The sequence below is a fragment of the Homo sapiens genome, chromosome 5 (assembly GCF_000001405.40).
Source record: "Homo sapiens chromosome 5, GRCh38.p14 Primary Assembly".
Taxonomy (NCBI): Eukaryota; Metazoa; Chordata; class Mammalia; order Primates; family Hominidae; genus Homo; species Homo sapiens.
The window spans coordinates 78,155,311-78,181,795 of NC_000005.10; the positions used below are offsets into that span (position 1 = coordinate 78,155,311).

Genomic DNA, 26,485 nt, shown 5'->3' on the forward strand with positions numbered 1-26,485 from the left:
ATGAGAAAGCGGTGACACCGGCAATTCAAGACTGTCTTTCCTACCCTCTTCAGTGCCTCTTTCAGCAATATGAAGTTAAAACCAGATACTGTGAGTGCCCACCTGATTTTTGGTTATGATGGTGCTTTTTTGTGTGTAATTAGTTGCTAAAATTTCGTGTTCTTGCAGGGGTGACAATCATTGCAGCCCTCTATTTGGCCATCTTGCTCCACTCTTCAAGATTTGTGTTTAAAAACTAAGATCTACCATATAAAGGAATGAAGTACTATATTCGAAAACATACACAAACCTTGAAAACATGCTAAGTGAAAGATGCCAGAAACAAAAGGCTACATATTGTCCAGAAAAGGCAAATCCATAAAGATAAAAAAAAGTAGATTAGTAGTGGCCAGGGTATAGAGTGAAGGGAGACTGGGCAGTCTCAGTTATGGATTTTTTTTTAAGGGGTGATGAAAATGTCCTGCAATTACATACTGGTGATTGCACAACTTATAAGTGATCAAAAACCAATGATACACTTCAAAAGAGTAAATTTTATAGTATAAAATAATATCTCAATTAAAAAAACAAAATCTGTGCACAAAGTGTGCTCAATGGTATTGTTTCTAACTCCTCTCAAAGGACAGCTCTGGGAAACAGATGTTTGTATATTCATTTCATGTATGACACATGAACATGCATATATACTCACCCAACATCTAGCTGTTGATATATAAAACTCACACTGCTATCTCCAATTCCAATCTAATACCACGAGGCTCATTCTATCCTTTCCCCTATTCAGATTTGTAATTCCCTCCTATAACAGCAAGAAATCTTAGAATCTCAGAATTGGAATCCAGACACTTCAGCTCTCCTAACCATTACCCTTTAGGCTGACCATTTATTTTAACAAAATTACAACTTACTGAATAAAATTCAGCAAACATCTCTTAATTGATACTCACAGTGATACTGTCCAGGAGTTTGGCCATATGTTTAATAATTTCACCATGTTGTGCAGGTTGCATTTGCAGTAATTTCTTTATAACAACCACACTTTCAGCAACAACTATTTCTGAAAAAGATAGAAATTATTCATACTAAATATGTATAATTCAATTCAAATGCAATATGCTTCGTAAAATGTAAACTTAAATTAGAAAAACATTCTATTTAATACAAGCCTTAAAAGACTATGTGAAAGCATAACCATGAGTGCGCTTCCAAATTTGAGGTGTGAACAACTGTCTTAACTAGGAGAGTTAACTTTAATTTCTAACCTCTGTTGCTGTCTCCTAGCTTCTGTAGTTCCTTTCTTATCTCTGCATCTTTAGATTAAGAAAGCAAAAGACGTTGGATTATGCTGCTCACCATAGTGTTCTATGTCTTTGGCTTTTAACCAGAGTCCTCAAATATTGCTCTTTGATTCCTATAAATTATATAGTGGAAATCAATTATCTACAATCTAAACAACATTTTCCCTATTCTGCAGAAAACAGCAAACTAAAAAAAAAATTTTTCCTTAAGTGAAATGCCCAGAAAAGTGAGTAGTAAAGATGAGTGGTAGTAGTAAAGAAGTCACTGTAGAAATAGCATGGAGTGCAAAGCCGGAAAGAATGGGATTGTGAGAGTGAGATGGATTTTCTCTATTTGTTCTATAAAGTCCACTCTACCTTTCTCTCCCCAGCACTGTGCCCTAAGAGGCCCACCTGTAGTCTGCCTCAACCAGACTCCCTTGGTCCTGGCTTATAGCTGTGTTTAGTCAATAGAAAGCTTCAGCAGGAGATGGTGGGGGGAGGGCGGGGATATTTGTTATCCTGGATCCCTACTCTGCCAGCCTCCTCTCCCTGGTATTACATGCAATCCCCTACTGAAGGTACTGCAAGTGGCTCACTCCTGCAGGGTCTGGTAACTGCTCCTGCTCCTCACACCCCTTCCCTTCAATCTGAGGCATGGTAAAGGCCTCCCACTGTTGATAGCCTGTTAGCTCCAGGGTGTTACATCATATCTTGTTGGTTTCCCTTAATCCTGACCACAGTTTACAAACAGTTCATTCACTTAATTCACTTCAATCATCCCTTTTAAGTGTGCCATCTGTTTCTTGCCAGAGCCTTAACTAATACAGTAACTACTACTGGAGGTGGATAGGAAGTAGATCCTCAAACTGGGATTACGGGATTTAGTTATCATACTAAACTGGCCAATCACTGGTCCAGTCTCTTTTTGGTGGTACTGGTAAAGAAACGTAACATAACTCACCTGAGAACCTGACCTTATGAAATGAATCTTATATAATGTGTTATTAATGCTAATGATGCCAAAGAAATAAATCAACATTGCCTTTACTTATTATTTTGATATTTTTATTAATAGGGCTTCATGGCTATTAGGAATTCCCCTGGCATACACTACAAAGGTTTATTTTAATATTATATTAGAAATACCATAATTTGTGTCCTATTACTCTTTTTTTTTGAGACAGAGTCTTGTTCTGTGGCCCAGGCTGGAGTACCATGGCGCAATCTCAGCTCACTGCAACTTCCACCTCCCAGATTCAAGCAGTTCTCCTGCCACAGCCTCCTGAGTAGCTGGGATTTACAGGCGCGCGCCACCACGCCTGGCTAATTTTTGTATTTTTAGTAGAGACGGGGTTTGACCATATTGGTCAGGCTGGTCTCAAACTCCTAACCTCATGATCCACCCGCCTTGGCCTCCCAAAGTGCTGGGATTACCGGTGTGAGCCACCATGCCCGGCCTACTCTTTTTCACTGAAATGTATTTTTTATAAAGCTCCGTTTAAGAATATAAACAAAATTCATCATTCTAATCATTAGTAAATATATGTATTTCAAACTGTTTACCTGCTTATCCATAAGAATAAGAAATTAACTAATATTGACTGGGCACAGTGGCTCAGCACTTTCGGAGGCCGAGGCAGGAGGATGGCTTGATCCCAGGAGTTTGAGACCAGCCTGGGCAACATGGAAAACCCCAGGTCTACAAAAAATCCAAAAATTAGCCAGGAGTTGTGGCACGTGCCTATAGTACCAGCTATTCAGGAGGCTGAAGCAGGAGAATCACCTGGGCCAAGGAAGGTTGAGGCTTCAGTGAGCCGTGATCACAACACTATACTCCAGCCTGGGTGACAGAGTGAGAAAAGAAAAAACAAAAAAAAACCTAGTATGATTTAACTAAAAGCTAACTAATATTAATGCTTCAGTTTACAAAACAACATCACATTTCATTTCCTTCTCACAATAATGTAAAGTAGGTACCTTATTATTATTATTTTAAAGATGAAGAAAGGGAGATGCACTGGAATTGTATAACTTTACCCAGAATTCAAACTCAGAACTAGGATGTACATTCTATCTATATACGTTCTATGTTACGATAGGCAGGTATTACTTCTTTTTTTTTTTTTGAGATGTTTTGCTCTTGTCGCTGAGGCTGGAGTGCAGTGGCGCAATCTCGGCTCACTGCAACCTCCACTTCCGGGGTTCAAGCGATTCTCCTGCCTCAGCCTCCCAAGCAGCTGGGATTACAGGTGCCCGCCACCACGCCCAGCTAATTTTTTGTATTTTTAGTAGAGATGGGGTTTCGCCATGTTGGGCAGGCTGGTCTTGAACTCCTGACCTCAGGTGATCCACCCGCCTTGGCCTCCCAAATGCTGGGACTACAGGCGTGAGCCACCGCGCCCACCCATAGGCAAGTATTACTTCTATAAAGACTACCTCTTGGTGCTATGAGGAAAGCAAAGGTAAATCAGAATGAGATTCTGCCCTCATCAAACTTACACTCTAGCAGAAAAATAAATGGTTATGTGATTACTATGCAAAGCAAAATTTGGTAAGTGTGGTTTTAAAGAATGCATAGTATAACAAATTTATATTTTTAAAATACATTATTGCAAAACTAGCCTAAGTAAGAGAAAAAAATGTTGCATAATTTAATTATCTACAAGCAGACGCAGGATTGGCTACAGTTGAAATATGCGTTTGGCATCATTTATCTTTAGGAACTACATTAGTTTCCTATTGTTGCTGTCACAGATTACTAAAAACATAGTGGCTTAAAACAATGCAAATTTATCATTGTACAGTTCTAAAGTCAGAAGTCTAACATAGGTCTTATGGGACTAACATCAAGCTCTCAACAGGGCTGCGTTCCCTCTGGAAGTTCTAGGGGAAATCTTTTCCTTCCCCCTCCCAACTTCTCAAGCATGCCCACATTCCTTGGTTCAAAGACCTCTTCCAACAATCACATCACCCTGACCTTCTGACATCTTCTGACTGACCTGCGTCTCTCTTTCCCTTATAAAGACCCACATGATAACATTAGGTCTAACCACATAATCTCCCCATCTATAGAAACTTGACTTAATCAATCTGCGAAGTCTCTTTTTCCACGTAAGGTAACATATTCACAGGTTCTGGGCATCTTTGGAACGCAATAATTCTGCCTACCACAAGTGCCTTCTCATTCCCCTCAGGTAATTCCACTCTACTTCTCCTTTATGGTACCTCTTGGTTTCCAAAGACCTCAGCACTTTGGTGCTACTCTATCAGAAGCACAAAATGATCCTATGTTCTAGATATTTCCTAACTTCCTCCTTGTCCTCAACAAATCTTAATGGACCTAACTTTAAAAAGTACAGTCTACTATCATACTCATTTTACAAATGAAGAATCTGGTGCACAGGTAGACTGGGTAATTTACTCAGGATAGCTGTAACATTCTACATAGGTGGTATAGTCCTACATGTAAGCAAATAGCTGGCAAGAGAGTAAGTGGTCACTATATGGGAAGACTATAATATATTTGTCTTATATTACTATCTCCCTCCAATGGACTATTAGCTCTATAAAGATAGGAACCTTTTATAAGTTAAATAAATATCCTATTAATATATTCAACATTTATTAAACATCTCAACTGATTTAAGTCTTCAATAAATGCTTACTGAATTGTTTAAAACTAAACAAAACAAAGTCTTCTGCCCCAATCCTTTTAGTTTAGAGTAGATGGCAATAAGGTTATTCAAAAAAGTAAATTTCGCTAATATGTTACCTAAAATAAATTACCTAAGTCAACTGAAATGTAGATTTCTCTTACTAAAGGTCTATAAGAAATTGGCTTATCAAATTAATCTTAGAGAGTAATAATAGGCTGTTTTAGGGCAAGCTTCAAGTCTGCTTAGAAAGGCTCTTAACAACACACACACAAAACTAGAGGTCCAAGAGAAATATATTAAACATATTTAAAAACAATTGAGCCTAAATGTCCCTGAGGTTTAAAGATTCATTATTTGAACAGATGATGAGGTATTCATTTCAATATAAAATCAAATAATTACAGATTCCTAGAGCCTTAAAAGATCTTAACAGATTTTAAAGAAACTGAGTCTTCATTCACAGTATTTATTCCTAAAAGTAGATCTTTTAATACAAAGAGGAAGGGGCTCTATTGTCAGGGTGGCTATGTTAAAGTTAAAAATACTATGACTTTCTTTTATGTTACTAATTTTGATATAAATATTCTCCTTATTTGTTTTACCTCTCACTTTTACTGAGCCAGACTTCCAAACTACAAAAAATAGTGTAGCATATGTGATACAGACATAATTAATCAGGTATTATGGGCTAATGATGATTATGCAAATATAATCTGACAATACAATTTAAGTTTGTTAATATTCACACTGCAGGAAAAAAAAAACCATGATTAAGAGTTGTATCAAAAAACAAAAGCCTAACCATTAAAATATCAAAATTTAAAGTAGTTAAACTAAATCCTTCTACTTTTAGAGAGGAAGTATGTATTAGTCTTTCATTTTCTAATTGTAAAACAATCTAGTCTTCCCTTAAAAGTGATGTAGGGGTAGAATATTTATCTTTTAAAGTCAATAAAAATATTTTTTGAGAAATTAAATCTGAAGCAGAAATAACTGCTTTAAAATCCAAAGCTTGAAATTTTCCATTAGAAAAAAAAAGTCAAAAAATAAAATTGAGAAAATTTGAATATATTTTGTATTTGAATGAACTAATCAGTGTTCTAACTAATTTCCGGTGCTTTCTGTATGTAACTAAAATGTAAAAGAACAATTGCCCTGGTAAGCCTTGGTTCATAATCTTTAATGGTACAAAGTTATTTTCCCAAGGTGTGTATTTTATTTGGTTGAATAGAAAGTCATTATTAAAGGCACAGGAAAATTTCTTTAAAACACATTTTTAATGTCACATTTTAAAATGTGACATAGAAACAGAGATAAAAGGATTAGTTATTATTAAAAGTAGAAAGAGATAGAATGGATGACGTTTATCATCCTATCTCCACTAGCTACTTTGTAGAGATAAAAAAAAATTTTAAACCTATCGTCTTGATAATTTTGGTTGGCATTTATTTGGAGTTTTAATACTACATGTAGAAAAATCTTCAGTCATAGTATCTTGAGTTTACAGGTACAAGTTTAAAATTTTATGCTCACAACAAAAATCAATGTTATCTGGGAATAAATTTTGTTCCAATTTTTTTCATCAGAAATACTCTCAACAATGTTACAGTTTTCTAAAGATATCTACATGTGGGAAAAAATAATTAGAGATTATAGGATTCTTGTACTAAAAAGTTATTTTTCAAATAAAATGTAATCAATTTTGTTGTTTTACCTCATGGGCTGCTATATCATATATGCCCATATCTAGACATGACATAGACATTAGTATATTTTAAATTCCACAAAATAATTTCAATGATTTTACAAAGAAAATTATGCTTTTCTTAAAAAAGTCTCATTTTAATACATAATTATAATAAAAGTTCTTTAAACAAAATTATTTTAAAGGTAAAGTTGGCTTTTCTTTCTTTCTCTAAATGGCTCCATTTATTTCAAAGCCTTACCCATAGAAATAACTGACGCTTTGCCACAGAACAATATGGGATCTAGCTTACATATTTTACTGGATATTACCTATCCAGTTTTACCGAACACTTAGATATTGTTTGGCTTAAAAACACAAAGCTGCTCCAAGTTTATGGCTTTTAAATCTAGTTAATTTTGAATATAATTAGGTGAATTTCTGAGGAAAAAGAATGTTGAAGGTATACAGTTAACATATTTTTTGATCTAGCCACTTCTCCATGTTATAGTCATTTGCCTGCTTTTAGCACCCTCTGCAGGTGAACCAATATTATGCATGACTTACATGCCATTAAAATGCAGTAAAAAGGTGGAAAAGATACAATCAAGGTGATTAAATTGTAAAGAAGTAAAACAAATTTTCTTAGATCTGTTGCGGTAAAACAAATACTACCTGCTAGTTAATGGCCTATTTTACTAAAAAAAAAAGAACCCAGAATATGCATATTTATGTGCATTCAAGGATAAAATGCTACTTATTGTGACCATACTACTGATATAACTGGAAAAGCTAAAATGCAAAGTTAGAAAAGGTTACAACTTGGAAATAATACCAAGAATATTCAAATTTAAATCACCTGAAAATAAAATGAAACTGTAAACTTACCATCCCTGTTGGACAGCAGACAGACCAAGCCATTGAGGCACGTGTCAGTGACTTCCAAGATGTTGGTTGCACATCTGCCTATAGTCTGAATAGTGGCTGCTGCAAATTGTTTATCCTGGCTTTTCACATAGGTCTAAAAGATATTATTTCAATTAGTTTACACACTGGTATTATTGAGTTAACCAAAACTCCGATTATATTAAACTTTGTCAATATATAAGAATTCCAGAATACATAAACTTCTCATAAGCACAATATGAGGACCAAGTGATGATGTAGATTAATTTCATTTTGTTTTGATTTTTTTACTTAAAGAATGTGCCTATGGACGAAGCACATTTTCAAGCCAGGCTCATTCACCTGTGGCCATAGTGGCTTGAGACTCCAAAACAGATAGTAGGAGCAGTCACCCAAAGACAGCAATTAGTTTAAGTGCAAGGTTGAAAGAGATGATGAGAGCTCTCTCTTTGGAGGTTTCAGTTCATTTACCAGCAGCATCTGTGAATCTATGAAAAAAAGGGTCACTTTTTCAGAGACACTAAATCTAAAAACTGGGAGAAAAGGAAGAAAGGGACCAGTAGGCTATTTACAAACATTTTAATTTCAAAATCTATCACAATGGTTGTAAAAGAATAATAGTTACGGTGAACAGTATTTCAATAAATACTTCAAATACTCAGTTTATAATAAAATAAAATACCATACTTTTGAAATAGATTTTCTTTAAAAGTATGCTTTAAAAATATACTGTAAAGGGTATATGTGTGTGTGTGTATATATATATATGTGTGTGTGTGTATATATAGTATATATATAGTATACATATATATATATACACACACACACATATATATATACACACACACAAATTTAAAAATAAAGAAATAAATCACTGATTTAACAACAGGAAGTTAAAATATCTTTATAAATTTTATAATGGCCCTAGAGAATTTCACTTTGCTTAGAACCTTCCTAATTTTTAAATGAGGAAAGCTTCTATTGTTTACAGAAATATACACACTTTGTATCATATACATGAAATTTGAAAGGTCATTTACAATCGAAATTTTTAAGAAAGATTCCCAACCTCAAATAAGAAGTATACAATGTAGACTTAACACTATGAAAAATGCAATACATTTAAGTGGTGTCTAAATGACAAATGGAGGAGAAAACCTAAAGATGTCTAAAAAAATACAAATTTGCTAAAAATGGTACCAACCAGGTGATTAAACATTGAACAAATAAATTAAATTAATTAAACTCTCCTAGTTCCATGAAGGCAAGACCAATTATATTTAAAAGTGTTCCCAAATAAATTATTTAATTTCCTTAAAGAAAAATATGAACTTATGAGTCTTTAGAAACATTCCCTATTTTACCCAAAAAGTTACTAAAAGCGTAACTATGAGCATAACACAAACATAGACAGAAGGTACAAATTTAGACAGTGATAAAAATGAATACATGAAAAAAATACTTAAAAGTTTGACTGAAAAATGGACCTTATTAAACATCCTGATATTAAATGAAAAGACTAGATGACCAATATTTTGAAACAGGTCTAGTATGTGCCCTCTATACAACCCATTCCATAACATTACCTAAGTCTCCTTTCCTACAATCCCAGGAGACTTGATATAAGCAAAAACTGGACAGTGAGAGGACACCCAAAGAGACTAGATAGGACAACAGGAAAGGAACAAGAAAAAACACAAAGACCAATACTTTAAATAAATAAAATTATAGGAATGAAGTGAAAATCAGATTCAAGCAATGATCTGCAGCTATAAGATTACTGAATAATAACATAAAATAGTATATTTTCTAGAACATCTTAATTTTTTAAGAAATTTGTCTAGAAAGATACACAACATAAAAGTGGAGTAATCCAGGTATGAAAATATAAATTATGGACATGCCATATTATTCTACTATTCCTGTAAAAAGTTTAAAAATCACATAGCTAAAAAGAAATCGTGTATACAGTGTCTTATAACCAAGAAGAAATTTAATATTGGCATATAGGAGAACTATGGCAAAAAATACATCTCTAAAAGTTGGAAGCTGATAAAAGAAAAACTCTGTGATTAGTGCATAGTATGTGGTATATTTTTGTTAAGAAAACAGATAGTGGAATATAAAAGTCATAATACTGATGTAAAGTTTTCTATTGCTGTGCTCTACAACTAAGGCTTCAGAGATGACCTTTCCATCATAAAGGGTATCATGTCCATGAAGTAATTTTTGAATAATATTTTGGGGGGAAATGCAGCTAGGAAGAGTCTCATAAGGCATAAAAATACAACTAAACAAATCAAAATAAAAAACAGCAATTTAAAAAATCGTAGTGGGGCAATTATGAAACAAATTTTTTTGAGCTATATATGAGGCTAAGGGGGCAGTGTCAAAAATAGTCATAGGTCAATAAAATGGGAACAACCAGGTAAGAAATGAAACCGTTTTCATGACCACAGAATATAGAAAGGACTATTGATGCTGGCAGCACAAAAAGATGAAATTCTTACCAGAAATACAATTTCAAACAAAGACAGAGTTATAAACCAAAGTCCTTCAAAGTCTATGAAAATATGAAAGAGAATACTATGTTTTCCTTAAATTATAAATTGTAATTAGTTTATTCTTGCAAATTTATGAATTTCTTAGTTGTCAGTCTTGTCCCAATCACTATTTTATGTACATAATTACATATTTCTAGATAGAAAAAGATGCATATTTAAGACTGAACATATGTTTTAGAAGTTTTTTATAATTAGCACTGTACACAAACCTGAAATTCTCGAAGAAGAGTTGATATGTTGGCTTCATTTGCCAAGTTTGTCAAAATTTCAAGCTATAGTAGAGAAAAGAGAAAGTAAACATTTTAAAACAAAGGTAGCAAGATGAATTTAATAGAGTACAGACATTTAATTGAAAGTTTATTTCTACTTTTAAAAATCACATTGTCAGCCGGGCACAGTGGCTCATGCCTGTAATCCCAGCACTTTGGGAAGCCGAGGCGGGCGGATCACCTGAGGCTGGGAGTGCAAGACCAGCCTGACCAACATGGAGAAACCCTGTCTCTACTAAAAATACAAAATTAGCCGGGCATGGTGGTGCATGGTGGTGCATGCCTGTAATTCCAGCTACTTGGGAGGCTGAGGCAGGAGAATTGCTGGAACCCAGGAGGCAGAGGTTGCAGTGAGCAGGAGAATTGCTGGAACCCAGGAGGCAGAGGTTGCAGTGAGCCGAGATCGCGCCATTGCACTCCAGCCTGGGAAACAAGACTGAAACTCTGTCACACACACACACACACACACACACACACACACACACACACACACACACACACACAAATCATATTGTCGCCAATGTGGTAAGGCATTATACCCTTCAGGTCAACTTAGTCTACCTTCTTATGTCCACAAACAGATATTAGACAATTACTAGTTCTTTGAAAACAATTCGGAAAAGGAGAATTCTACATCTTCACTAATTGTCTGCCCAATACAAACTTATAATTTATATCTAATTAACCTAAACAATTCTGCTAGTTTGGCTTTTTGTCTTTTAGTAAAGTTAGAAAACAATTTGCCCTCCATGTTAATACATCTGCTTTCCAGATACCAATTAATTCTTTTGATTTGTTCTCCTATAGTCTACCATCCCAAATACTCAGACATTTTAATTCTCTCTTCTGGATTTATAGATATAAACAATGTGTAATCTCCAATGGGCTTGTGAAAAAAAATTTTTACTAATAAAAAATATTTAGTCTTAAGAAAATCACAAAAAAATAGAAGAGACAAACAGAAGCAAATCAAGATGTGAACATAAATACATTCATATCAATAAACTACATTAAATAAAGCCAAATACTTAGAGCCAACTGATCTTTGACAAGGCAAACAGAAACACAAAATAGGGAAAGGATACCCTATTCAACAAATGGTGCCAGGATAATTGGCAAGCCACATGTAGTAGAATGAAACTGGATCCTCATCTCTCATCTTACACAAAATTCAACTCAAGATGGATCAAAGACTTAAATCTAAGACCTGAAACCATAAAGATTCTAGAAGATAACATCGGAAAAACCCTTCTAGACGCTGGCTTAGGCAAAGACTTCATGACCCAAACCCAATAACAAATGCAACAAAAACAAAGATAAATAGATGGGACTTAATTAAACTAGAAAGCTTCTGCACAGCATAAGAAATAATCAGCAGAGTTAACAGACAACCCACAGAGTGGGAGAAAATCTTCACAGTCTATACATCTGACAAAGGACTAATATCCAGAATCTACAAAGAACACAAACAAATCAGCAAGAAAAAAACAATCCCACCAAAAAGTGGGCAAAGGATATGAATAGACAATTCTCAAAGATACACAAACGGCCAAGAAGCACATGGAAAAATGCTCAACATCACTACTTATTAGGGAAATGCAAATCAAAACCACAGTGTGAAACCACCTCACTCCACCAAGAATGGTCATAATCAAAAAATCAAAAAATAATAGATGTTAGCATGGATGTGGTGAAAGGGAACACTTTTACACTGTTGGTGGGAACGTAAACTAGTACAACCACTAAAGAAAACAGTGTGGAGATTCCTTAAAAAAGTAAAAGTAGAACTACTGTTTGATCCAGCAATCCCACCAGTAGGTATCTACCCAGAGGAAAAGAAGACATTATACAAAAAAGATACTTGCACACACGTTTATAGCAGCACAATTTGCAATGGCAAAAATATGGAACCAGCCCAAATGCCCATCAATCAACATGTGGATAAAGAACATGTTATATATATACACACACACACACACACACACACACATACACACCATGGAATACTGCTCAGCTATAAAAAAGGAACAAAATAATGGCATTCACAGAAACTAGATAGAATTGGAGACTATTATTCTAAGTGAAGTAACTCAGGAATGGAAAACCAAACATCGTATGTTCTCACTCATAAGTGGGAGCTAAGCTATGAGGATGCACAGACATAAGAATAATACACTGGACTTTGGGGGCTCAGGGGAAAGGGTGGGGGGTGGTGAGGAATAAAAGACTACACATTGGGTACAGTGTACACTGCTTGGGTGACGGGTGCACCGAAATCTCAGAAATCACCACTAAAGAACTTATGCATGTAACCAAACACCACCTGTTCACCAAAAACCTACTGAAAAAAAAAAAAAAACAAAAAAAATAAAACAGCAAATGATCTAAACGCTCCAATTAGAAGGCAAAGACTGTAGGAGGAGTTCTTTACATATTCTGAGTACAAATCATTTATTCAGACACATGTATTAGAAATATTTTTCCCAGATAATCTTTTAATTTTTAATTTTATTTTGATAACTATATTTTAACTTTTAGACAACTTTTTTCTTTTTTCTTTTTTTTTTTTTTTGAGACAAGGTCTTACTCTGTCACCGAGGGTGGAGTGCAGTGGTATGATCATGGCTCACTGCAGCCTCAACCTCTGGGGCTCAAACAATCCTCCCACCTCAGCCTCCCAAGTAGCTGGGACTACAGGTGCATACCACCAAGCTCAGCTTATTTTAAATTTTTTTGTAGGGACGGAGTCTCGTTGTGTTGCTCAGGCTGGTCTCAAACTCCTAGGCTCAAGCGATCCTCCTGCCTCAGCCTCCCAAAGTCCTAGGATTATAGGCATGAACCACTGCATCCAGCTGGACAACTTCTAAAAAACAATCTCAAACATAGGAAAAAGCTACACGTATAGTACAAAGAACTGTTGCTGTTGTTTTTCTGAACGATTTGAGACGATAGATGCCAATCTGATGCTACATTATCCCCAAAAACTTCTATGTATATTTCCTATAAACAAGGACATGTTCCACAGACTACAGTACAACGAAGAAAATCAGGTCATTAAACTGATGCATTACTTTCACACAATTGTCACTATGCACGTAAGTTTCAATAACTGTCTCAATGATGTATAATAAAAGGATCCAGTTCAATATCACATACTGTATTAAGTTGTCTCCTTTGGTCTGAAACAGTTTCTTAGTCTTTCTTTTAACTTATATGACCTTGACATTTTCGCTAATTATAAACCAGGTTTTTTTGATAAAATATCCTTGAATTTGGGTATAATTTAGATTTTATTATTAAACTCAGTTTTCATATGAATAATACATCATTCTAATATTGAACAGTCTTGAATAGTCCATAGTCCATCCTTTCCTCATTGGTTTGTAATATCTCCTCTACTATATGGTACATTTTTGCGTGTATGGGCACATTTCTAGGCTTTCTACTCTTTCCACTTACTTTTCTGTCTAAATATCACACTATTTTAATCACTATAGATTTATATTCCTAACTGCACTCTATGCCATACTTATTACTTCCTGAAAACAATGCTCTTTCATAATCCCTTGTGTTAGCATGAATTATGTTTTTCACCTACTCTAACCCTTCGACCTCCCAATCAACCTGCCAACCAAGAAAAAAATTCACAATATTATTCTTTTAAGATCCACCCAAACATCATCTTTTCTAAACCTCTCATAGAATTAGCTCCACCTTTCTGTTCTTCACAACACTCAATTCAAATATCTGTATTACTTAAAACACACAGTACTAAAATAAGTTAGTTAGAGACAGGGTCTCAGGCTGGAGTGCAGTGGCATGATCAATGGCTCACTGCAGCCTCAACTTTCTGGGATCAAGCAATCTGCCCACCTCAGCCTCCCAAGTAGCTAAGATTACAGACATCGGCCACCACGCCTGGCTAATTTTGATTTTTTTAAAGAGACAGAGTCTCACTATGTTGCCGAAGCTGGTGTCGAACTCCTGGCCTCAAGCAATCCTCCCACCTTAGCCTCCCAAAGTGCTAGCAATACAGGCATGAGCCACTGTGCCAAGCCCTGAAGTTTATTTATTTATTTATTTATTTATTTATTTATATTATTATACATTAAGTTTTAGGGTATATGTGCACAACGTGCAGGTTTGATACATAGGTATACATGTGCCATGTTGGTTTGCTGCACCCAACAACTCGTCATTTACTTTAGATATTTCTCCTCATGTTATCCCTCCCACAGCCCACAAACCCCTGACAGGCCCCGGTGTGTGATGTTCCCGGCCCTGTGTCCAAGTGTTCTCATTGTTCACTTCCCACCTATGAGTGAAAACATGCAATATTTGGTTTTCTGTCCTTGTGACAGTTTGCTGAGAATGACGGTTGCCAGCTTCATCCATGTCCCTGCAAAAGACATGAACTCATCCTTTCTAATGGCTGCATAGTATTCCATGGTGTATATGTGCCACATTTTCTTAATTCAGTCTATCATTGATGGACATCTGGGTTGCTTCCAAGTCTTTGCTATTGTGAATAGTGCCGCAATAAACATACGTGTGCATGTGTCTTTATAGTAGCATGATTTATAATCCTTTGGGTATATACTCAGTAATGGGATCACTGGGTCAAATGATATTTTTAGTTCTAGATTCTTGAGGAATCACCACACTGTCTTCCACAATGGTTGAACTAGTTTACAGTCCCACCAACAGTGTAAAAGTGTTTCTATTTCTCCACATCCTCTCCAGCATCTGTTGTTTCCTGACTTTTTAATGATCGCCATACTAACTGGTGTGAGATGGTATTTCATTGTGGTTTTGATTTGCATTTCTCTGATGACCAATGAGGATGAGCATTTTTTCATGTGTCTGTTGACTGCACAGATGTCTTCTTTTGAGAAGTGTCTGTTCATATACTTTGCCCATTTTCTGATGGGGTTGCTCTTTTCTTGTTTTTTCTGGATATTAGCCCTTTGTCAGATGGGTAGATTGCAAAATTTTTCTCCCATTCTGTAGGTGGCCTGTTCACTCTGAAGGAAGTTTCTTTTGCCATGCAGAAGCTCTTTAGTTTAATTAGATCCCATTTGTCTATTTTGGCTTTTGTTACCATTGCTTTTGGTGTTTTAGTCATGAAGTCCTTGCCCATGCCTATGTCCTCAATGGTATTCTCTAGATTTTCTTCTAGGGTTTTTATGGTTTTAGCTCTAACATTTAAGTCTTTAATCCATCTTGAATTAATTTTTTGTATAAAGTGTAAGGAAGGGATCCAGTTTCAGCTTTTTATATATGGCTAGCCAGTTTTCCCAGCACCATTTATTAAATAGGGAATCCTTTCCCTATTGCTTGCTTTTATCAGGTTTGTCAAAGATCAGATAGTTGTAGATATGTGGTGTTATTTCTGAGACTTCTGTTCTGTTCCATTGGTCTATATATCTGTTTTGGTACCAGTACCATGCTGTTTTGGTTACTGTAGCCTCGTAGTATAGTTTGAAGTCAGGCAGCGTGATGCCTCCAGCTTTGTTCTTTTTGCTTAGGATTGTCTTGGCAATGTGAGCTTTTTTTTGGTTCCATATGAACTTTAAAGTAGTTTTTTCCAATTCTGTGAAGGAAGTCATTGGTAGCTTGATGGGGAGGGCATTGAATATATAAATTACCTTGGGCAGTATGGCCATTACCACTATACTAATTCTTCCTATCCATGAGCGTGAAATGTTCTTCCACTTGTTTGTGTCCTTTTTTTATTTCACTGAGCAGTGGTTTGTAGTTCTCCTTGAAGAGGTCCTTTACATCCCTTGTAAGTTGGATTCCTAGGTATTTTATTCTCTTCATAGCAATTGTGAATGGGAGTTCACTCATTAATTTGGCTTTCTGTTTGTCTGTTCTTGGTCTATAGGAATGCTTCTGATTTTTGCACATTGAGTTTTTATCCTGAGACACTTTGCTGAAGTTGTTTATCAACTTAAGGAGATTTTGGGCTGAGACGATGGGGTTTTCTAAATGTACAATCATGTCATCTGCAAACAGGGACAATTTGACTTCCTCTTTTCCTAATTGAATACCCGTTATTTCTTTCTCTTGCCTGATTGCCCTGGCCAGAACTGCCAACACCACGTTGAGTAGGAGTGGTGAGAGAGGGCATAATTGTCTTGTGCCAGTTTTCAAAGGGAATGTTTCCAGTTTTTGCCCATTCAGTATGATATTGGCAGTGGGTTTGTCATAAATAGCTCTTATTATTTTGAGATACATTCCATCAATACCTAGTTTATTGCGTGTTTTTAGCATGAAGGGCTGTTGAATTTTGCCAAAGGCCTTTTCTGCATCTATTGAGATAATCATGTGGTTTTTGTCGTTGGTTCTGTTTATGTGATAGATTACATTTATTGATTTGCATATGTTGAACCAGCCTTGCATCCCAGGGAAGAATCCATCTTGACTGTGGTGGATAAGCTGTTTGATGTGCTGCTGAATTCGGTTTGCCATTATTTTATTGAGGATTTTCGCATCTATGTTCATCAAGGATACTGGTCTAAAATCCTCTTTTTTTGTGTGTGTCTCTGCCAGGCTTTAGTATCAGGATGATGCTGGCCTCATAAAATGAGTTAGGGAGGATTCTCTCTTTTTCTATTGATTGGAATAGTTTCAGAAGGAATGGCACCAGCTCCTCTTTGTACCTCTGGTAGAATTCGGCAGTGAATCCGTCTGGTCCTGGACTTTATTGGTTGGTAGGCTATTATTATCTCAATTTCAGAGCCTGTTATTGGTCTCTTCAGAGATTCAACTTCTTCCTCGTTTAGTCTTGGGAGTGTGTACGTGTCCAGGAATTTATCCATTTCTTCTAGATTTTCTAGTTGATTTGCATAGAGGTATTTATAGTATTCTCTGATGGTAGTTTATATTTCTGTGGGATTGGTGGTGATATCTCCTTTATCATTTTTTAATGCATCTATTTGATTCTTCTCTCTTTTCTCCATTAGTCTTGCTAGCAGTCTATCAATTCTGTTGATCTTTTCAAAAAACCAGCTCCTGGATTCATTGATTTTTCGAAGGGTTTTTCGTTATTGGGTATTTCGTTTTTGAAGGGTATTTCGTTATTATTGAAGGGTATTTCGTTATCTTAATTATTTCTTGCCTTCTGCTAGCTGTTGAATGTGTTTGCTCTCATTTCTCTAGTTCTTTTAACTGTGATGTTAGGGTGTCGATTTTAGATCTTTACTGCTTTCTCTTGTGAGCATTTAGTGCTATAAATTTCCCTCTACACACTGCTTTAAATGTGTCCCAGAGATTCTGGTATGTTGTGTCTTTGTTCTCATTGGTTTCAAAGAACAGCTTTATTTCTGCCTTCATTTCGTTATTTACCCAGTAGTCATTCAGGAACAGGTTGTTCAGTTTCCACGCAGTTGTGCAGTTTTGAGTGAGTTTCTTAGCCTGAGTTCTAAATTTGATTGCACTGTGCTGTGAGAGTTTGTTGTGATTTCTGTTCTTTTACATTTGCTGAGGAGTGCTTTACTTCCAACTATGTGGTCAATTTTAGAATAAGTGTGATGTGGTCCTGAGAAGAATGTATATTCTGTTGATTTGGGATGGAGGGTTCTGTAGATGTCTATTAGGTCTGCTTGGTGCAGAGCTGAGTTCAAGGCCTGGATATCCTTGTTAACCTTCTGTCTCGTTGATTTGTCTAATATTGACAGTGGGGTGTTAAAGTCTCCCATTATTTTTGTGTGGGAGTCTAAGTCTCTTTGTAGGTCTCTAAGGGCTTGCTTTATGAATCTGGGTGCTCCTGGATTGGGTGCATATATATTTAGGATAGTTAGCTCTTCTTGTTGAATTGATCCCTTTACCATTATGTAATGGCCTTCTGATCTTTGTTGGTTTGAAGTCTATTTTATCAGAGACTAGGATTGCAACTCCTGCTTTTTTTTTGCTTTGCATTTGTTTGGTACATCTTCCTCCATCCCTTTATTTTGAGCCTATGTGTGTCCCTGCAGGTGAGATGTGTCTTGGGGTTGCTCTTCTCGAGGAGTATCTTTGGGGTGTTCTCTGTATTTCTTGAATTTGAATGTTGGCCTGCCTTGGTAGGTTGGGGAAGTTCTCCTGGATGATATCCTGCAGAGTGTTTTCCAACTTGGTTCCATTCTCCCCGTCACTTTCAGGTACACCAATCAAATGCAGATTTGGTCTTTTCCCACAGTCTGTTATTTCTTGGAGGCTTTGTTCATTTCTTTTAAGTCTTTTTTCTATAACCTCGTCTTCTCACTTTTTTCATTAATTTGATCTTCAATCATGGATACACTTTCTTCCACTTGATCGAATCGGCTATTGAAGCTTGTGCATGTGTCACAAAGCTCTCGTGCCACAGTTTTCAGTTCCAACAGGTCATTTAAGGTGTTCTCTACACTGTTTATTCTAGTTAGCCATTTGTCTAACCTTTTTTCAAGGTTTTTACCTTCCTTGAGATGGGTTTGAACATGCTCCTTTCGCTCGGAGAAGTTTGTTACTACCGACCTTCTGAAGCCTACTTCCGTCAACTCATCAAAGTCATTCTCCATCCAGCGTTGTTCTGTTGCTGGTGAGGAGCTGCAATCCTTTGTAGGAGAAGAGGTCCTCTGGTCTTTAGAATTTTCAGCTTTTCTGCTCTGGTTTCTCCCTATCTTTGTGGTTTTATACTACCTTTGGTCTTTGATGTTGGTGACCTAGAGATGGGGTTTTGGTGTGGATATCCTTTTAGTTGATGTTGATGCTATTCCTTTCTGTTTGTTAGTTTTCCTTGTAACAGTCAGGTTCGTCAGCTGCAGGTCTGTTGGAGTTTGCTGGAGGTCCACTCCAGACCCTGTTTGCCTGGTTATCACCAGCGGAGGCTGCAGCACAGCAAATGCTGCAGCACAGCAAATACTGTAGAACAGCAAATATTGCTGCCTGGTCCTTCCTCTGGAAGCTTCGTCCCAGAGGGGCAACCACCTATATGAGGTGTCTGTCGGCCCCTAGTGGGAGGTGTCTCCCAGTTAGGCTACACGGGGGTCAGGGACTCACTTGAGGAGGCCATCTGTCTGTTCTCAGAGCTCAAACACCAAGCTGGGAGAACCACTGCTCTCTTCAGAGCTGTCAGACAGGTACACTGATGTCTGCAGTTGTCTGCTGCCTTGTGTTCAGCTATGCCTTGCCCAGAGTGGAGTCTATAGAGGCAGTAGGCCTTGCTGAGCTGTGGTGGGCTCCGCCCAATTCAAGCTTCCCAGCCGCTTTGTTTACCTACTCAAGCCTCAGCAATGGTGGATGCCCCTCCCCAAGCCAGGCTGCTGCCTCGCAATTCAATCTAAGGCTGCTGCGCTAGCAGTGAGCAAGGCTCTGTGGGCGTTGGACCTGCTGAGCCAGGCATGGGAGAGAATCCCCTTGTCTGCCGGTTGCTAAGACCTTGGGAAAGCGCAGTTTTTGGGTGAGAGTGTCCCGTTTTTCCAGGTACAGTCTGTCCCGGCTTCCCGTGGCTAGGAAAGGGAAATCACCCGACCTCTTGTGCTTCCTGGGTGAGGCAACGCCCCACTCTGCTTTAGCTCACCCTCTGGGGCTGCACCCACTGTCCAACCAGTCCCAGTGAGATGAACCAGGTATCTCAGTTGGAAATGCAGAAATCACCCATCTTCTGTGTCAATCATGGTGGGAGCTGCAGACTGGAGCTGTTCCTATTTGGCCATCTTGGAACAAATCTCCAAAGTTATTTATTTAAATGCCTGTCTCCTTCAGTAATCTGTGAGTTATTCAAGTTGTAGGTAGCATGGCTTAACTTTACATTATCAGAATGTAGTACAGTAATTAGTATATAATAATATAGATTGAAAAGTATAAAGAAAAACCATTAACTTTATCAATGTGTTTTGAAAAGCAGGACTGCATCCCACAGGTGCTAAAAGCTATAGAAATATCTCTTCAAAACAAATGTGTTAAAAGCCTCTGAAAAATGAAAGCATACATACCTTCAGTGTCTTGATCATAGTTGGATCAGTTGACCTAACATAGAAACTCTTCAGATAAGGTTCAAACATCCCCTGGATTACAAAAATAAATACAAAAATACATTATGGTACTAATGTGTTCATGTGTCTCTTAAATTACGTGTTCAGAACATACATACCTTTCTTTGAATTGACATAGTTGCTATATTTTGTAGGACAATATACTGCACCTCCCTAGAAATCAAAAGATAATTTTTACTGGGTATATGTTCCAATGAAACATCTTTGAGTAAGCACTACAATAATGACAAAGAATTAGCAATAATTTCAAGTGAATGAGACTCTTAAATGTAATAATGAAAAGTTTTTAGTAAATCTTAGATGTGTGTCTTTTTAACGCACTTTTCCTATAAAATACCAATAAATTAGACGTGATTCATCATGAAGAATAGTTAAAACAAATTTTATAATAAAGTGCTCCTAAAATATGAAGTTAACATTGTACCTGCTTTGAACACATCCAAGGAAGGTATTCTTAGGGTTAATAGGGGTAGATAGGACCACACTGTTATTATAAACTCATTAAATAACTCATTCTTCCCAGGGCAAAGGCCAGATTTTAAAAGTAGTCATGTTATTTTTAGACCCAAATATCTAATAAATGAACTGAATCTGGTATAAGGCTTCATGTGAAAGACCAATTCCAGGTCTTTCTGATATCTTTTGAACTAGCCATAGGAAAAAAAAAAAAAGTATTGAACTAGCAAAAGAGAAAAATAATAGCTGGATATACAGATAGGGAGAATAGGAACACAAAGGAAATGGCATCTCATTTGTTACTAAGCCAGTCAAGAGCTACAATTGTGGACTAAGTTCCAGTTAAGGGCAAAAATAAATACATAGTTTTTTCCTTCCAACGCAATTAGTGGAAACAAGCACTCAATGAAAAACATTGTTTCAAATTAAAACAACTAATTACTGAAAAATAGCTAAGGTATGTCAAATAGCTGAAATGAAGGTATTCTTAAACACAGAAACAAATGTCTGAATTAAACCTGAAATCATGATTCTCATGTTATATGTCATGGAAACTCAATAAATTGTTTTGAATCGTTAACCTAAACCACTAAATTATAAAGAGGTAAAATCAAAGAAGGTGGCATGCTCTTTCTGTCTGTCTATCTGAAACTAAGAGTATGCAATCTTTAAAATGAGTAGCTATTAAAAACACAGCTCTCTTTTTAGAGTGGAGCAAAGCATAGTAATTAAATATTCCAGCTTTATAGGAAGCACAATTCTGGCATAAACTACATTACTTAGCATACACATTGCTCTATATAAAACCATGTATTAATACATTGAGTAAGTCAATCTGATAGTACTTCAGTATAGTTTTTCAGTGATTCCAGATTTACCAAAACTCCCAAACATCATTATTGCCATACCTAAAAATTTCAAACACTAATACTAGGCTACTAGTGACACTCTAGTGTTATGCCACAAAATATTTTCAATATCTTTGGGCTTGAGGTTAAAAAGTTTCAGTATTTATCATTAAGTTTGAGATAAATGCATAAAGACTTTTATAATAATCCCCTTAAGTATGAAATCTTACTGATCGATTGATTAAAATATAGTCAGAGTTATATATTAAATGCCTGAAAGATTACATTTGTTCAAACATTACTTTTGAAGGAATACAAAAGAAAAAATATATATAAAATCATGACCTACCTATTGCTACGAAGTAAACGCACTAGTGATTTAGAAATTATGCCAGCTTCAGATTTTGGTGATATGTGCCAATACAGCTGAGCAACTGCCATAACCACCTACAAGATAAAGCATAAAAATAACAGAACTATGAACACTAGAGCACTCTACAACCTCAAAATCCATTCCTACACATTATTTCCTCTAAGTCCTACAAATTCCTGTGACGTAAAATGGAATGTTACTCTTCGTAGTGAGTTGAAGAAGTGTCCCCCACTCCCAGTGCCCAATACTATCCTCAGAATCTGATCTTATTTGGAAGTGGGATCTCTGCAGAAATTATTAATATAAGAATTGAAATGACATCATGCTGGTTAAGAGCCCTAAATCGAATGAACGTGTCCTTATAAGAGAAAAAAAAAGGACAAAAAGAGACACCGTGAAGGCCATGTGAAGATGGAGATAATTAGTGTGATACACCCATAAGCCAAGCAATGCCACGGATTGCTGGCAATCACCAGAAGCCAGGAAAGAGAAGGTTTCTCCCTCAGAGCGTACAGAAGTAACCAATACTGATTATACCTTGATTTCAGACTTCTGGCTTCCTGAAATGTGACAGAATAAATTTCTGTTGTTTTAATCCACTCAGTTTGTGGCAATATGTATGGCAGTGCTATGAAAAGAATACATCCTCAGAAAAAAAAAGAGACACTGAATGAACTGCTCAAGGTGTAACAGCTAGTACGTGGCAAAGCTCAAGACACTCGAAATTCCATGCTCCTCAGCTGCTGCTCTGAGACTGGGGCTTTTTAAGAATTATAAGCATGCCTTTCTAAATGAAGCCAGGATAACAGTAACTAGTAGGCTGAAATAAAGAAAACTCAGCACATTTAAGTTACAATTAAAGAAACTCCATTAAAACAAATACATCTACAGCAGTAGCATTTAAAATAATCTTGTTTTTAAAAACACAGAACCTTAAAAATGGCTTCTGGTTCAAAGCCATTATAAGGGTGATTCAAAGACTGGGCACAGTGGCTCACGCCTGTACTCCCACCCCTTTGGGAGGCCGAGGCAGGTGGGTCACTTGCAGTCAGGTGTGAGAGCATCCTGGCCAACATGGTAAAACCCCATCTCTACTAAAAATACAAAAATTAGGTTAAGCGTGGTGGTGCACACCTGTAATCTCAGCTACTTGGGAGGTTGGGACACGAGAATCATTGAACCCAGGAGGTAGAGGTTGCAGTGAGCCGAGATCATGCCACTGCACTCCAGCCTGTGCAATGGAGTGAGACTCTGTCTCAACAAAACAAAACAAACAAAGGGTGACTGGAATTTCTTTGTCTCAAAACAGAAGAGTACTGTTTCCCCTAAGTGCCTCTACACTCAGATTCAGAGTGACAACTGCAGAGACATAGCTACAGATGTTACCAATGCTGCCTTTGGCTCAAAGGACACACTAATATTAATTTAATTCTGCCTGGTCTATGAAGTTTGAACAAATATATAGCAAAAATTCTATTAATATATATGCCTAAATAGTATACAGCACAGAAGAATGTTTGAGGTTAAAAAAAAAAGTTTCTTCTGAAACTAAAGAACCGTTTTTAAAAATACAGTATACAGGGTCCTAAATTTACTGTTTGCCATTTCTTGTACTTTCTTACAAGTTTGATTTATAGCTTTAAGATATTAGTTGAGAATTTAAAAAATGCAAGAATATCTCATTTCTTCACTTGTGAACTGCAAATATAAGTTGGTTACAAAATAAACTCTCCTGAATTTTAAATCTTATAAAATAAAAGAATCTCAATTAATGATTGACCTAATCCAAGATCAGTCATTTAAAAAAATATTAACGCATATACCTGGCTAATAAGTATTAGTAAATGATAGAAAAGAAAGCTGAATCTTAATTTTAATCTATCTTACAGATAGTAAATCCTTTTCCCTTACAAATAAAAGTCCAATCCTACTGGCAAGAAAGCAAACTGTACTTCCTATACATGTCAATGTCTTTAAAATTCTAGCTGCCATTTGGCATGCCATCTGTTCTAATATATTAGGGTACTCCAAAATCCAAAAGGACTAAATGAGCCTCTTTTTCCTCGGTATTTAGAAATCCAACAGTTGAAAGTCGCTTTGATACCCAGATTTGAAATGTATAGGCTAATTTGTAAACGCCATGAAAAAAGTTCCCAAAACTTCAAAATCCAAAAAGACTAAAAATATACAACCTTATAGACCTTCTACAGTTACATCATGCCTGTTCATAATAAAGCGCATCCTATAAACACTTTTCTACTCTTAACCATTCATGCCGCTGTCACCTTATTTAGACTGTTAGAATAGCCTCCTAACATTCCGCTTTCAGTATCTATCTCCAGTACAAACTACATAGCAATGATGTATTATGTTTCCTGAAAGAAATTCTCAAAGTCTCTCCATAAACTTAAGTACGAGGTTAAAAAAAAATCTATCCACAATTCTTCAAAAGTTAGCCTTTACTCATATTTAGCAGCATCCCAAAACAAGGTACCAAAATACACTGACACAAAAAGTAAACCACCTCTATTACAGCATCAAGTAAGCAGGGAACCCAAACAAAATGGGACCAGAAGTACAAACTGCCACTATTTGTTTCACTATTTGAAAACGTTTTTGATCCATAAGTATTTGAACTATAAAATCAATTTCTAAGACCTAGTTAAATGAACAGTGAGTCACTCATAAAGTACAGCTTAAGATGGCAAATTACAGCTACCTAACTAGCATCTGGCTAAGCTGAGTACATTAAAATATAAGCATATTTTACAACAGCCATGAAATAATATTTTCATTATGACTAGGCATGATTACTGAATAATGATTTGGAAACTAAACCATTAGGTATTAGACAAAAATTGTTGTTGATAACTTGGATATACAAAGCTGTAAGCTCTAAATTCTCAAGAATCAATTCATTAAGAATTGTTCTGAACAGAACAATTCATTAAGAATACTTTCTCAATTAAAATCTTTAAGAACATGTTTAACCTAAATCCGTCAAGCCTTTGGATATAACTGCCAGTTAACAGGAAACACAGAATATAAAAGAATTAAATGACACTATAAAAGATGCAACCATCCCATTCCAGTAGGTATAGCAAACAAAATAACAAAATAAAAAGAAGCAGCAGCAATCAGACAAACCCAGAAGGACATTCTGCAAGACTTGACAGGCTTTAAAAGATGCAATGCATTAGATAATGGTTTGGATAAATCATCCAAAAAGAATAATTTAAGATCAATTGGTATTAAATGAAATGAAATTTTATTAAAATAAAAAGTAGAGAGGACTGACTAGAGAAAAAAAGGTTAGAAAATGCTATGTACAGTATGATTTTTATCTTGGTTAAAAAATATATATATATGTATGTGTAACCATGAATATATGTACACTTATGCAGATTAGAAAGATCTGGAAGAAAATACACTAAGACATAAGTGATTTCTGAGTGTTGAGAATGTGATGTTTTAATTTTCTTTTTAGTTTTGCTAGCCTGTAATTTCTAATTTTGTATTGTGCACATGTATTCTTCTAAAATATAAATGGTTATATAAACAAAAAGGTGTCGAACAAACAAAAAAAACCTTATGACCCAAATAAAGATGATTTTTAATTACTATTACTGCCAATTTACATTTATAATATGTGAGGCATTACCTTTGTTAGTCTCTTAAAAATTCTATCAGACAGATACAAACAGTATGGACTAATACCAGATCAAGTACCCCCAATCACAATGGAATAACTGATAAATATACATAGTTCTTATATAAGAGCTAATATAATCCAACCAATTGAGAAACAACTTAGAAATATCTTAAGAAAAGCCAATTAACAAAACCATTAAAACGTAAATGAAGTCCAATAGGCCAAACCAGGTATTGTCATCAAAACCTAACTCTGTATACCTGGAAACATGGAAGGCTGAAATATATTTAGGTATTACTTCTCAGACATTAGGTCTCTAAATCTATAGCTTACATTCCACACTGTACTTCCAACTATCCATTACATGTCATTTGGTGTGTAAACAAACAAATGCTCCATTAGCACACACAGACTCACTTACTAAATTGAGATATTTTTAATTGCTGTTTTTTAAAAACCAGTGAATTATTTCTTATAAGGATTTTAACATACCGCAGCATTCCTGCTCTGAAGCAAAGGCTTTGTATTTCTAATTAAGAGTCTATGATCTGGATCCATAGTATACGGCTTCTTCTTTTTGTCAGTCTTTTCCTTCTGATCATCATCAGATTCGTAGAAATTCTTTCCATTGTCTTCTAATTCATCACCCTACAATGAAAGAAATCCAACCCAAGATTACTTTAGACCTTGAGCAATCTGCATATTATATAGTCAAAGAAAACTTTCCTTTAAACATCTATAACAACATTTTACCGTAGAATACTTCTGTTTGGGCAATTTA

General features: G+C 35.9%; 1 protein-coding gene across 3 annotated transcripts in view; it reads right to left on the reverse strand.

Annotated features, from left to right (window-relative positions):
• Window positions 1-26,485, reverse strand: part of AP3B1 (adaptor related protein complex 3 subunit beta 1) — a 294,177-nt gene that overhangs the window by 154,789 nt on the left and 112,903 nt on the right. For all 3 annotated transcript variants that reach the window (NM_001271769.2, NM_003664.5, NM_001410752.1), the window contains exons 8-14: window positions 26,197-26,352; window positions 22,029-22,126; window positions 20,474-20,528; window positions 20,316-20,387; window positions 10,300-10,362; window positions 7,509-7,641; window positions 948-1,057 (exon numbers count right to left, since the gene is read on the reverse strand). In NM_001271769.2, the coding sequence (NP_001258698.1) occupies window positions 948-1,057; window positions 7,509-7,641; window positions 10,300-10,362; window positions 20,316-20,387; window positions 20,474-20,528; window positions 22,029-22,126; window positions 26,197-26,352 (687 nt within the window). The remainder of the gene's footprint in view (window positions 1-947; window positions 1,058-7,508; window positions 7,642-10,299; window positions 10,363-20,315; window positions 20,388-20,473; window positions 20,529-22,028; window positions 22,127-26,196; window positions 26,353-26,485) is intronic.